The sequence below is a fragment of the Homo sapiens genome, chromosome 15, assembly GCF_000001405.40.
Source record: "Homo sapiens chromosome 15, GRCh38.p14 Primary Assembly".
NCBI lineage: Eukaryota > Metazoa > Chordata > Mammalia > Primates > Hominidae > Homo > Homo sapiens.
The window spans coordinates 73,126,128-73,139,588 of NC_000015.10; the positions used below are offsets into that span (position 1 = coordinate 73,126,128).

The following is a 13,461-nucleotide window of genomic DNA, read 5'->3' on the forward strand; positions in this document are numbered from 1 at the left end:
GAATGGAAATTTTTGTATCACTTTTGCTTAAAATATTTTGTCATATAAAGCCACACAGACTGAATAAGAACCAGTCATTCCTCAAGATTAAAGCAGTAAAGTGCTTTGTCGTGTGTGTATGTGGTAATGATGGGGTCTTGCTATATTGCCTACGCTGGTCTCAAACTCCTGGGCTCAAGCAGTCCTCCCTCCTCGGCCTCCCAAAGTATCGGGATTATGGGTGTGAGCCACCATGTCCAGCCTGTTTTGTCCTTTAATTATTGTCTTTGTTAATTTTTTTTTTTTTTAGATCCTGAGGTGATATCAGACTTGGTATTTTTGAAACAGCCTTCTCCCTTAGTCAGAGTCATTGGTCAGGATGTAGTGTTGCCATGTGTTGCTTCAGGACTTCCTACTCCAACCATTAAATGGATGAAAAATGAGGAGGCACTTGACACAGAAAGGTAAGTGTTGTCTGCCTAAAAGCCTTCTTCAGCCTTAGCTTGAGACTTTGTCATATCCCATTTGGGACTATTGACTAATTTAAAAAGATTATCAACTTTATTTAAACACATCATAATGCTCATATGTCATCCTTCAAATATGTTCATATGATATATATGATGAGGATATTTAAAGAAAAAGATACTTTCAAAATATTAAGAGATAATTATTCCCTTTGTTCCTGTTGAAGCCGCAGTGTACTCAGCTTAAGTCTTCAGGATTTTCTTCCCTAAATTGTTGCAAGAGCTTTGGTCCTGAGTAGCCTGAGTCTTCTCACACATTCTCATATGCATTTTTTTGATAGTAGTTTTTCCACTGCACAATCAGTATGAGAAACTGGGCTGGCCACAGTGGCTCACACCTGTAATCCCAGCACTTCGGGACGCTGAGGTGGGCAGATCACGAGGTCAGGAGATCGAGACCATCCTGGCTAACACGGTGAAACCCCGTCTCTACTAAAAATACAAAAAATTAGCTGGGCGTTGTGGCATGTGCCTGTAGTCCCAGCTACTCGGGAGGCTGAGGCAGAAGAATCGCTTTAACCCAGGAGGCGAAGGTTGCAGTGACCTGAGATCGCGTCACTGCACTCTAGCCTGGGCGAGAGACCTAGACGCCGTCTCAAAAAAAAAAAAAAGAAACTGTATTCCTCATCCTGTTGTTTTTGCCTTTTGAATCCTATCAGAAATCACAAATTCTTCATCTTTCACAAAATACCAACCACTTTACTGTCCTTCCTATCTCCTCTCATTACTTCCTTATGCAGTGGGTGCTTTTCTTAGGTGTGTTCTCATAAGAGATGTGGGGTGGTGGTAGGTAGGTATGTTTTTGCTTCCAAAATAATGCTGTCTTGTGCACTGTAGGATGTTTACTGGCATCCCTGCCTTCTACCCATAGGTGGCAGTAGCACTTCCGCATTGTGACAACCAAAAATGTCCCTGGATACTGTGAGATGGTCCTTGGGAAGCAAAATTGCCCCCAGTTGAGGACCATTGTTCTACAGCAGTGCTGTTCAATTGAAATATAATGCAAGCCACACATGTAATTTAAAAATGTCTTACAGCCACGTTTTTAAAAAGTAAGAAGTACATGTACAATAATAAATATAATAGTAATATTTTATGTGATGTACCAGTTAATGTGAAATGTAGTTCTACCAAAAGAATAAAGTTTATGTTTAGTGGGAAACATTTTAACACAGCTTTAGCTTGTACATTTATTTTAAAATTTCAGAAATTCAGTTCTGCAGTCATACAGGCCACATTTCAGGTAGCCACATGTGACTAGTGGCTATTGACTTGGACAGGGCAGATCTAGAGTTTCCCAGTTGCAAAATCAAAAGTGAACAGACAATTTTAATTTTTATAGTTCAGTATCCAAGACGTAGAAACAGGTATCTATCTAGTTATCTGGGTGATCAGCCTTCAGTGATCACTGGGGAAGATGGAATACAATCAGATTGTTCCCCACGTGCTCCATTAGCAAAACATGGCATCCTCCCCAATATCACCTGATTTCTTTCTCATCATCCATCCACTCACCAACTTCCTGTCTTCACATTTTGCTTCCTCCCTGTCTTTCCACTCCTCTTTCCAGCTAAATATTACATAAGCAAAGAATTTATAAGACTTCATTTTTTTTTTTTTTTGCCAACTGAAACATAGGGAACCTTAAAATAGTGATAAAAATGTGAAGTTCTTACAGTAGAAATTTTAATTGGCTACAAGTTAGAACAAAATCTTTATCAGGAGTAGGAAGGCTGAAATATATTATTTTAAAACATATTTTGTCATGAAGGGACATTCTGAAGATATAAAACTTATATATAATGATTTTTTATGTCAGAAATAAATGTGAGGCTTTCTATGATTCTCATTTGTTCAATAATTACTCAACAAATATTTACCAAATGCTGGCTATGTCATGCATGTTCTAGGTGCTGGGAATAGAGTAGTGAACCAAATGGAGTTCTTGATCTTACAGAGCTCATAGTCTAGTGGGAAAGAGTCAGATAATAAGTAAAAATTTAAAAATGTCAGTTTATGGTAAGTGCTATGAAGAAAAGACAAATTATATCAGGAGTGTCAAGAGAAATAGAGGTAAGATTGCTATTTTATACAACGTGTTAGATAATTGTTCTTTTAGTAGAATGATTCTCAGACTGGGGTCTGAGTGGGCCAGGGTATGCACATCATGATAGAAAAGTTTCATATCTTCCTGAAACATCCAATTTTATTCAAAGATATCCTTGGGAGCAGATGATTTTTAACTAAATCAAATGTGAATATATTATGGTTAATAACACTGCTCTGAATTTTAAGGATAAAGCAGTAGACTTTAAGATTGAGTTAACTTATTTCTGCCTGTAGTTCTCTAGGCTCCTGAATACTCAGATTAGGTGGCTGAAAAGTCTGAGAAGCACTGCCTTGGTATGTCACTGTCTCAAGAAGCTTCAGAAGAAAATAAGAGCAGGACAGTGTTGGTGGTGTTCACATTGGTCTTTCCAGACTCTAGCACAGTGCTTGGCCCATAACTGGGGAGGGGAAGTGGTGGCCAATATATTTAGCTTGAATAACCCAAAGTAATGTTGGAAAATATAAGTGAATGGAGCACAGGAGTGCTTTTGGTTGGATGTATGTAATTACCCAAAATATCTTTGTTTCTGCTAGAGCCTTATGAGATATGTAGATAGGCCTCAGCTAATAAATTATTTAGACCCAAAATTAGAAAGAGGCTTAGAAGTTGAAAGAAAAAAGTGGCTAGAAATTCAGATAGTGTTAGGCTGGATCTAGTAAAAAAAAAAGATCTTAAATAACTAAACATCCTTCTTTATTACTCATCTTAAGACTTCTTTGAAAGTGAACTTAAGAACATTTCCATGGCTTTTATAAATGTCCAAAAATTGATCTATATATTTAACCTTTGATCAAATTTGTTCAGATTTACAATAATCATCGCTAATGAAAGAGGGGGGTGGAAATGGATCCCATTCACTAAGTAGTTTTATTTTAAAGGGAGAGAATCTGGAAAATATAAATGCTAGTGTTCAAGGTGATTGACAGAAAAATGTAATTTAGTAGTCAAATAATGTTATCTTTTAATGGAATGATAGATCTGAACCCCACTGCAAGGGAACAGGTTAAAATGCTTGATATTATTACAATTGACAGTAGTAGAAAAATAAGATTATTTAAAAAGTAAATGGAAGACTTCCACTTCTGGGAAAATTGAGTAGATATATTTTTCCCTATTCCTTTTGCTAAATACACCTAAAAACCCTGGATGTTACATGTGAAACAAACATAAGAAGACTCTGAAAGGTAGAGAGAGAAAGACTGAGATTGAGTAGCTAGGGAGCTTGAGACCCAAGGAACAGCATAATTGTTAGTTCTTTTTTTTCTTTCTTGAGACAGAGTCTCGCTCTGTTACCCAGGCTGGAGTGTGGTGGCGTGATCTCAGTTCACTGCAGCCTCCGCCTCCCAGGATCAAATGAGTAGCTGGGATTATAGGCATGTGTCACCACTGCCAGCTAATTTTTGTATTTTTCATAGAGACGGGGTTTCACCATGTTGGCCAGGCTGGTCTCAAACTCCTGGCCTCAAGTGATCCACCAATCTTGGCCTCCCAAAATGCTGGGATTACAGATGTGCGTTACTGTGCCCAGCCAACTTGGTGGTTAGTTCTGTGGGCTCAGTTTCCCGCCCCCCCCGCCGCATAAGACCCTTTCAGGAACCTGGGCTGTGTTTTGCCTCATATATCCCAGACTTGGAGCTAAAGAAGCTAGCAACCTGGAAATCCTACTAGGCACAAACAAAAAAAGCCTCAACAGAAGGTGCTCTCTAGCCAAAGGGGCAGGAAAAGAGCATCTCAGCAAGACAAAAGCTGTTAGACTGTACTTTCTCCTACTCCAGTCAAACACCGCAGAAGAAACTGTGGCCCCACCCTACCATGCCAGTCAAAGACCATGCCAGGAGCCTAGACTTCCACCCTTCCCAGGTTGTAGTGAAGCATCTCAGCCTCCTTGCTAAGTGGTGTCAAAGTTGGAGTAGGGAGCCAAGACTTTTATCCTAGCCAGGCAGTAATGAGGCCCCTCCCATGTAAGTAGAGAACAAATGGAGAGCCTCCACTTTCACCCCATCCAGCCATAAGAGGCAACCCTTCCCTTCACACTGGGGTGGTATCAAAGGAGGCCCAGCGGAGAGTCAAAGCTTTACCATCATGTAGTAGCAAGGCTCGCTTCATGGTGTCAACACCATGTGACCATGTGGGGGAACAATAATGAGACAATCCTACCCCTTCTACCCAGGGAGGCATCAGTGGAGGCCTAGTGGGGAGCTGGAACTCCCAACCCTGCTAAGAAGCAATGAGGAAACCCCTCCCCACTTACATGTTAATGGAGGCTGAGTGGGAAACCTGAACTACCCCCACCTGACAGTAATGAGACAGCACCCCCCCACACACACCCACTTTCTCTGCTAGAGTGGTGTTAGAAGAAGAGAGCTAAAACAGAAGGATTAAATAAGATCCAGAGTGTCATAACATAGTACCTAAAATATCCAGGTTTCAGTTGAATGTAATGCATCATGCCAAGAACCAGGAAAATCTCAACTGAAAGGAGAAAAGACAGTGACAGAGATTTTAGAATTACCTGACAAAGATTGTAAAGCAGTCATCATAGCATCACTTCAGTGAGCAATTATAAACACATTTGAAGCAAATGAAAAAGTAGAAATCTCAACGAAGAAAGAGGTCTCCTCAGTGCAGGTTTGAAAAAATTTACCTCTCTTTCAAATAACAACAAATACAAAACTAAATTAAACAGTTTTCTTTTTTGCTTTTCTCTTCATTCTTACCACCCTAAAGAAGTTGTCTTTAACATCTGTTTTCTTCTCCGTTTCTTTATCTGATGTATCTGCAAGATTTTACCTTCTACATGTCTTTGGAATCCATCCATGAAGGCACCATGTGCCTTATTCTAAGTTACAGTCGGTGCAGTGGCCTCCTAATTGTTCTTCCTACTTGTACTCTGGCCTCATTCCAAATACACCTTCACACTCCTGCCAGAGCAGTCTTTTCAAAGCTCTTATTTTACCACAGCACTCTCAACCCCCTACCCACTTTTAAAAATGTTTAATGGATTTCCGTTGTTCTTAGGTTAAGGACCCAAATTCTTAAAATGGTTTTCAAAGCCTTATGCAGTCTGGCTCCATCCTCATCCTCCTCTATTTTCTTACACTTTGCCACACTGATTTCTTTTAGATCCCCAAACCACTGTGATCCTTTCTGCCACAATTAATTTGCATGTGCTAGTCTATCTTTCTGAAATATTTTTCGCACCTCATTATTTAGTTAGCTTCTACTCATTCTTCAGATCTCAGCTTAAGGGTTACTTTGTCAGGAAAATCTCTCCTCATCCCTAATTTCCTGGCAGGTTCTTTTGCTATACCATTTTGTAGAGTTATCTTCTATGTCTGTGTTTCCCACTTGAGATGCATGACAGCACTGATTGTGTTTTTGCTCAGTGCTATATCCCCAGCTGCTACCTGACACATATAGACAAACCAATTAATATTTGTTAAATGAATGAGTAAATCTCTCTCCTTACCTTCTTTATCCAACTTTTTAAGAGTAGTCAATACTTTTTTGCTTTCTTTTTGTCCCTATTGTTACGGCCATAATCTTTTGCTCTTTAATTCTGGACCATTGTAATTATATAATCAAACTTCTGCTTTAGTGTTTTCCCATCCTTTTTTTGTTTCTTCACGAAGTCTGAGTGTGTCATTACTCTGCTCAAAAGCCTTTCCCTAAGACCTGAAACCATAAAAATTCTAGAAGATAACATTCAAAAAACTCTTCTAGACATTGGCTTAGGCAAAGACTTCATGACCCTGAATGCAAAAGCAAACACAAGAAAAACAAAGATAAATAGATGGGACTTAATTTAAAAAGCTTCCACACAGCAAAAGAAATAATCAGTAGAGTAAACAGACAACCCAGAGCTCGGGAGAAAAGCTTCACAATCTATACATCTGACAAAGGACTAATATCCAGAAGCTAGAAGGAACTCAAACAAATCAGTGAGAAAAACAAGCAATCCCATCAAAAAGTGGGCTAAGGACATGAATAGACAATTCTCAAAAGAAGATATACAAATGGCCAACAAACATGAAAAAATGCTCAACATCATTAATTATGAGGGAAATGCAAATCAAAACCGCAGTGCAAAACCACCTTCCTCCTGCAAGAATGGCCATAATCAAAAAATCAAAAGTAATAGATGTTGATGTGGATATGGTGAAAAGGGAACACTTTTACACTGCTGGTGGGAATGTAAGCTAGTACAACCACTATGGAAAACAGTGTGGAGATTCCATAAAGAACTAAAAGTAGATCTATCATTCGATCCAGCAATCCCGTTCCTGTATCTATAATGAGGAATAGAAGTCATTATACAAAAAAGATAACTTGCACATGCATGTTTATAGCAGCACAATTTGCAATTGCAAAAATATGGAACCAGCCCAAATGCCCATCAGTTGATGAGTGAATAAAGAAATTGTGGTATGTATATATATATATACGTATATATATATACACATACTACTCAGCAATAAAAAGGAATGAAATAACACCATTCACAGCAACCTGGATTGAATGGGAGACCATTATTCTAAGTGAAATAACTCAGGAATGGAAAACCAAACATCCTATGTTCTCACTCATAAGTGGGAGCTAAGCTATGAAGATGCAAAGGCATAAGAATGGTACAGTGGACTTTGGGGACTTGGAGGAAAGGGTGGGAGGCGGGTGAGGGATAAAAAGCTACATGTTGGGTGCAGTGTACACTGTTTGGGTGATGGGTGCACCAAAATCTGAGAAATCACCACTAAATAACTTTTTCATGTAACCAAACGCAACCTGTTCCCTAAAAGCCTATTGAAATAATTTTTTTGAAAGCCTTTCCGCTTGGTCAAAAAATAAAAGTTCTCCTTAGCACTCCAAGCTTTTCCAGACTGACCCTAGGCTACTCAGGGATACCTTATGCCCAGCAATACTGAATTTACTTGAGTCCATTGGCTGTATATATTTTTTCACATTGTTTTTTTTCTTTGCCTGCATCTTTGAATTTTGGAGTTCTAAAGGCTCGATGGTCTTTTTACTGTGAGCCATGAACTAATTGAATGAATTAATTCTGCCAAGCAAATGGACATTATTTCTCCCAGCCTTTTTTTAAAGGGAGTAAAATCAATCCCGTTAAGAAAGACTGACTGCTATGCTACTGGTACTCACATATGCCAAATATCAGGCACATCAAGTATCAACAATATTTTTTAGTGTAATTATTAGATATAAATTACTGTATCTCGCTTTCAAAAATGACAACTAGTGTTTCAAATTATGTTCATCTCAGCTGGGTATCATATGTATACATTGCTGATTTCTCATTTGATGAACATTAAGTTTTTTGTTTCTGAAACTTAGTAGTAAATTTTATCCAGGTATAAAATGTAGGATTTTAATTTTTGTAAATTTTTCTTATTTTGTGAGGCACCAAAGACCCGTCTTATCTCTCCATTTATTTTATCCCAGTCATTCCTGCTCTATTCCATTATATAATATCTTACTTCTGTGTTTCATCAGGTAAACCTGGGATTTAAGGGTGTTATTAAGACATTTCTGATAGGAAGGTTGCTTGATAAAGGTTAGTCATGACCTTGCAGGGTCGTATTTCTTGGAGAAGTCACCAAATCTGATTCTGGCTTTCAGCTTTCTGTGTCCAGAAACTTAATCAAGTTTATCAGATTCAGGAAGACTGATTACCTAGACTTTACAATGTAATGAAATTTAAGCCAGACTAGCACTTTATTTATTTAGAATGAGAATTATAAATGTGGCCAAGACTGTATAGTCATTTCCTCTGATTTTTTTTTTAATCCTATAAGGAATTCTTTTTTTTTTTTGAGATGGAGTCTTGCTCTGTTGCCCAAGCTGGAGTGCAATGGCGTGATCTTGGCTTACTGCAACCTCCGCTTCCCGGGTTCAAGCGATTCTCCTGCCTCAGCCTCCGTGTAGCTGGGATTACAGGCATGCACCACCACGCCTGGCTAATTTTTGTATTTTTAGTAGAGATGGGGTTTCTCCTGTAATCCCAGCACTTTGGGAGGCCGGGGCGGGTGGATCACCTGGGGTCAGGAGTTTGAGGCCAGCCTATAAGGAATTCTATATGAAAAGCCAAATTATAATCAGAACGTTTTTTAATTGATCCATGGACACAGACTAGAAATGTAACAGTATTAAGATTTGGAAGAAAAGTCCAGCCTGTGAAAACCAGTTTAGATGTGGAACTTCAAAATAAAAATGTATGTATACATTTATTATTGTGTTTGGTACTGTATTTTGAATTTATGTCATCTCTGAAAGTGACTTTTAAAGTGGCAGCTTTAATTAGGTACTTGTCCCTAGAATTAACTGCATCTCTTGCCCTATGTCAGGTACCTTTATATGTCTGATTTTGTTAGTAACTCTCCAAATTAACTAAACTTGTTCACTTTATACAAATTTGATCAGAGTATTGATTGTTCTTCAATGTTATAGGATTATTTTCTTTTCTCTTTAAATCGGCTTAAATAACTCTGTAGAGTTGGCCAGTATTCATCAACATCCTGGTTGATAATGGCATGATGGTGACTGATTTGTGCCCAGCTACCACACCCAGGGAGCTGCTCTCTGGCAACCATTCTCTCTTTCTTCCCTTCCTCTTTTCCTCTCTCTCCTAGATAAGCTACCATAGGGAAACTTTCAGTAGGCACTGTGACCCCATGACTTACTGTTTCGGATCTAACATTTTGCCCTCTTTATGTTTTCTTTCTGTTATTAATCTCAGTGTGGCATAGCTGTGGTGGTGTAACTAACTCTCAGATTGATTCCAGACTTCAAAATTACATAATTTGGAAAAAAACTGGCCAGAATAGGGAGACAGGGATGGGCTGAAGGAAGTGAAATTGGTTCCAAGAGTGATACCCCTTTGGAAATAACTAGAAGTGTCAGGGATAATTCATTGTAACATTTGATTTGCATTTGTGATATTTATGCATGTAAAATATGAGCAAAGCAAATTGGACTAAATTAAATTCTGGTAATTTTATATTAGTCTTGGTTCATCTATAGCTATATAAATAATAATACTCTTTAAGTGTTTTCTCTATTTTATGTGGAGAGTTTTTCAGGTATTATTTTCCTAGTACTGAAATGTATCTTTTTTTTTTTTTTTTTTTTAACACAGCTCTGAAAGATTGGTATTGCTGGCAGGTGGTAGCCTGGAGATCAGTGATGTTACTGAGGATGATGCTGGGACTTATTTTTGTATAGCTGATAATGGAAATGAGACAATTGAAGCTCAAGCAGAGCTTACAGTGCAAGGTATGTAAATATTTACTGTATAATTTAAAAATCCTGTGTACTTTCTGGGTCTGCTAATTTTTAAGAAATATTAACATGGGCGAGGCAATACAGCAAAACAATTAAAAGCATAACTCCTAGACCAGACTGCTTGGGTTTAAATTCTAAATCTTATATTTCCTAGATATATGACTATAGGAAACTTATTTAATTTCTCTCAACCTCATTTTCCTCAGCTGTAAAATGGAAATAATAAGAATATTTACCTTATTGGGATGATTTGAGGGTTAAAAGAGCTAATACTTATAAAACCCCTGGAATAGTGACTAGGATATTGTGAAAGCTCAATGTTAGTTATTGTTGTTACTATTTGTAGTGGTGGTGGTGGTGGTGGTGGTGACAGGAAGGGTATGATCTGGGGCATCTGGAAGATTCACTTTTCTTGTCTCAGGATGTTTTCTGATGAAGACGTCTCTGTTCTGTGACCCCGAATTATTTCTCTCCTCTCTGTTGGTGTCCTTTTCTTTTGGGTGAACAGATCACCCAGGAAGGAGTACACTGTGCCTCTCAATATAACTTGGTTTGATGATTTGGTGTTTATTTTCCTCTCTTCATACTTCTGATAATCACTGCAAGGGTAGTTGTTCTTCCTTTTTCTCCTACTCTTCCCTTTTCCCCTTATAGGTTCTTTGATTCAGACGTCAGAAAATAAAGATGGCATGACTACATAGTCTTGTTTTTATCCCCATTTCCTGTGCCATTCCTCCATATGGAAATGTACCCTCAAGTGCTGGCTAGAGGTGACTAAAGTGACCAAAGGTCACTTTTCTACCTCTTCTTCCCACCCCCTCAAAACTCCCAGATTGGTAGCTTTCAACCTAGGAAGACTGCTCCCAGTGCTGTTTCTCCCTAAGAGTTAGGAGTGCTGTTTCACTCCTAAGAATGAAACTCTGACCGGGACTGTTGCCTGAGGAATGCCCCACAAATTGGAGTAAATCATAGTGGTTCTGAGGTTCCTGGGGTTCTTTGCTCGGGGCCTCAGCCTCCTCTTTTCTTAAGTTCACCATTTAGATACAATTAAGACCTGGCCTTTAGTGCTTTCACAAACATATATATTACCAGAGTGGTTGGTACCCTTGATGCACGTTAGTTTATAGCCAAGCTGAACACCTGAATAATACAATTACTCTCAGATTGGCAACCAAGTGAATAATGTATGCTATCTCATAGATAATTACTGGAAAAGACTGACCAAGAATTAAAAATAACCATAAATATATTTAAGGAGATAAGAAAAATATTTGCAATATGATGCAAAAACAAGAAAATATAAACACAGAACCAAATAGAAATATTAAGAATGAAAAATATACTAAAAATAAAGAATAAAGCAATCTGCATGATAGAGAAAGGTATCCCATTTTTAAATTTTGTTTTATTTTGATTTTTTTTGAGACAGGGTCTCCCTCTGTTGCCCAGCCTGGAGTGCAGTGGTGCAGTCTCTGCTCACTGCAGCCTCTCCCTCTGTCACCTAGGCTGGAGTGCAGTGGCACAATCTCTGCTCCCTGCAGCCTCGACCTCCTGGGTTCAAGCGATCATCCTGCCTCAGCCCCACAAGTAGCTGAGACTACAGGCATGTGCCACCAGGCCCAGTTAATTTTTGTATTTTTGGTAGAGATGGGGTTTCACCATGTTGCCCAGGCTGGTCTCGAACTCCTGGGCTCAAGTGATCCACCCGCCTCGGCCTCCCAAAGTGCTGGGATTATAGGCATGAGCCACTGTGCCTAGCCAGAGAAAGGTATAACATTGATGAGCAAACTCATGAATTGGAAGATTACATTGAGGAATTCTCTGAGAATGCAGCATTATATGATAAAGAAAGATAACACATGGAGTAAAATCTAAGAGATACGATAGGTATAGGTAGAAGGACTATCTAGATAAATAGGTGTCTTAGAGGAGAGAAAGGAAGAGGGAAATATTTGAAGAAATAATTAAGATAAATTTTTCAGAATTAGACTTGTAGAACACCTTAGACTAAAAGGACTAGTAGACTGTTAAATAGGTGAAAGAAGGAAAAACCCACCTTGAGGCCCATTTACAGTAACATACAATAATGTATAATTATATATACAGTAACGTATAATATCAAAGACAAAAAAATTCTAAAAGCTTCCAGTGACAAAGAGCAGATCACCTACAAAAGAAAAAGATTGGATTGTACCTAAGTGTTGATTTGAGAAATCTGGTATCGGGAGGACAATAGCGTAATCTTTTTAAGGTGTTAAAAGATGTTGAATACACACAATTTATATGCATCCAAAATGTGAGACATAATAAAAATTATCACACAAGATCTCTGAAGGTTTGCTGCACAAAGATACGTTGAAAACACTTTTGGAATAAATACTCAATAAAAGATATACCTGGGAAATACTGCAAGAGCCTTTTAAAACAAAGGGGGAGTTGGCCGGGCGCGGTGGCTCGCGCCTGTAATCCCAGCACTTTGGGAGGCCGAGGCGGGCGGATCACGAGGTCAGGAGATCGAGATCATCCCGGCTAAAACGGTGAAACCCCGTCTCTACTAAAAATACAAAAAAATTAGCCGGCGTAGTGGCGGCCGCCTGTAGTCCCAGCTACTTGGGAGGCTAAGGCAGGAGAATGGCGTGAACCTGGGAAGCCGAGCTTGCAGTGAGCCGAGATCCCGCCACTGCACTCCAGCCTGGGCGACAGAGCGAGACTCCGTCTCAAAAAAAAAAAAAAAACAAAAAAACAAAAAAACAAAGGGGGAGTTTTAAAACAGCTCCCAGATTCTTTGACTATCCTTCTATAGAGTGGTGGGGTTTATGTCCGTTGCTCTTGAATCTAGGCAGGCTTGGAGCTATTTGGATCAATAGAGTATGGCAGAAGTCATATGTGACTTCCGAGGCTTATAAAAAGCTGTGCATTGGTTGTCATACTTGGAGAGAATTTTTTTAAAAGGAAAAAAAGAAAAAGCAGTGCGGATTTTTCCTGGCTCTCTCGATGCTAAGAATATACAATGGGGAAAGCATAGTCTCTTCAGTAGATGGTCCTGGAAAAACTGGATAGCCACATGTGGGAGAATGAAATCAGATCCTTATCTCATATATGTAAATCACATATACACCATACACAAAAATCAACCCAAAATGGATTAAACACTTAAACATAAGACCTGAACTGTAAAACTACTAAAAGAAAAGAGGGGAAAAGCTTATTGACGTTGGTCTTTGCAAAGACCAACGTTTTTTTGGATATGACCCCAGAAAACACAGGCAACGAAAGCAAAAATAGATAAATTGGATTGCATTGAACTGAGACGCTCCTGCCAGTAATGGAAACAATCAACAGTGAAGAGACAACCTATGGAATGGGAGAAAATATTTGCAAACCAATGAAAACAGAAGAAGAAAATGATAACAAGAGCAAAAATTAATGAAATAAAAAAACAAACATTCAAAACAGAGAATGTCAGCAAAGCCAAAAGTTGGTTCTTTGTAATGCATAACAATATTGATAAATCCCTGGGAAGACATACATTACTTGACAGAGATCTTTATC

At 38.7% G+C, this 13,461-nt stretch overlaps 1 protein-coding gene across 29 annotated transcripts in view; it reads left to right on the forward strand.

The window, feature by feature from the left end:
- NEO1 (neogenin 1) overlaps nucleotides 1-13,461 on the forward strand; it is a 253,515-nt gene that overhangs the window by 74,436 nt on the left and 165,618 nt on the right. For all 29 annotated transcript variants that reach the window (XM_047432591.1, XM_011521628.3, XM_011521633.4 and 26 more), the window contains 2 exons: nucleotides 290-443; nucleotides 9,764-9,900. In XM_047432591.1, the coding sequence (XP_047288547.1) occupies nucleotides 290-443; nucleotides 9,764-9,900 (291 nt within the window). The remainder of the gene's footprint in view (nucleotides 1-289; nucleotides 444-9,763; nucleotides 9,901-13,461) is intronic.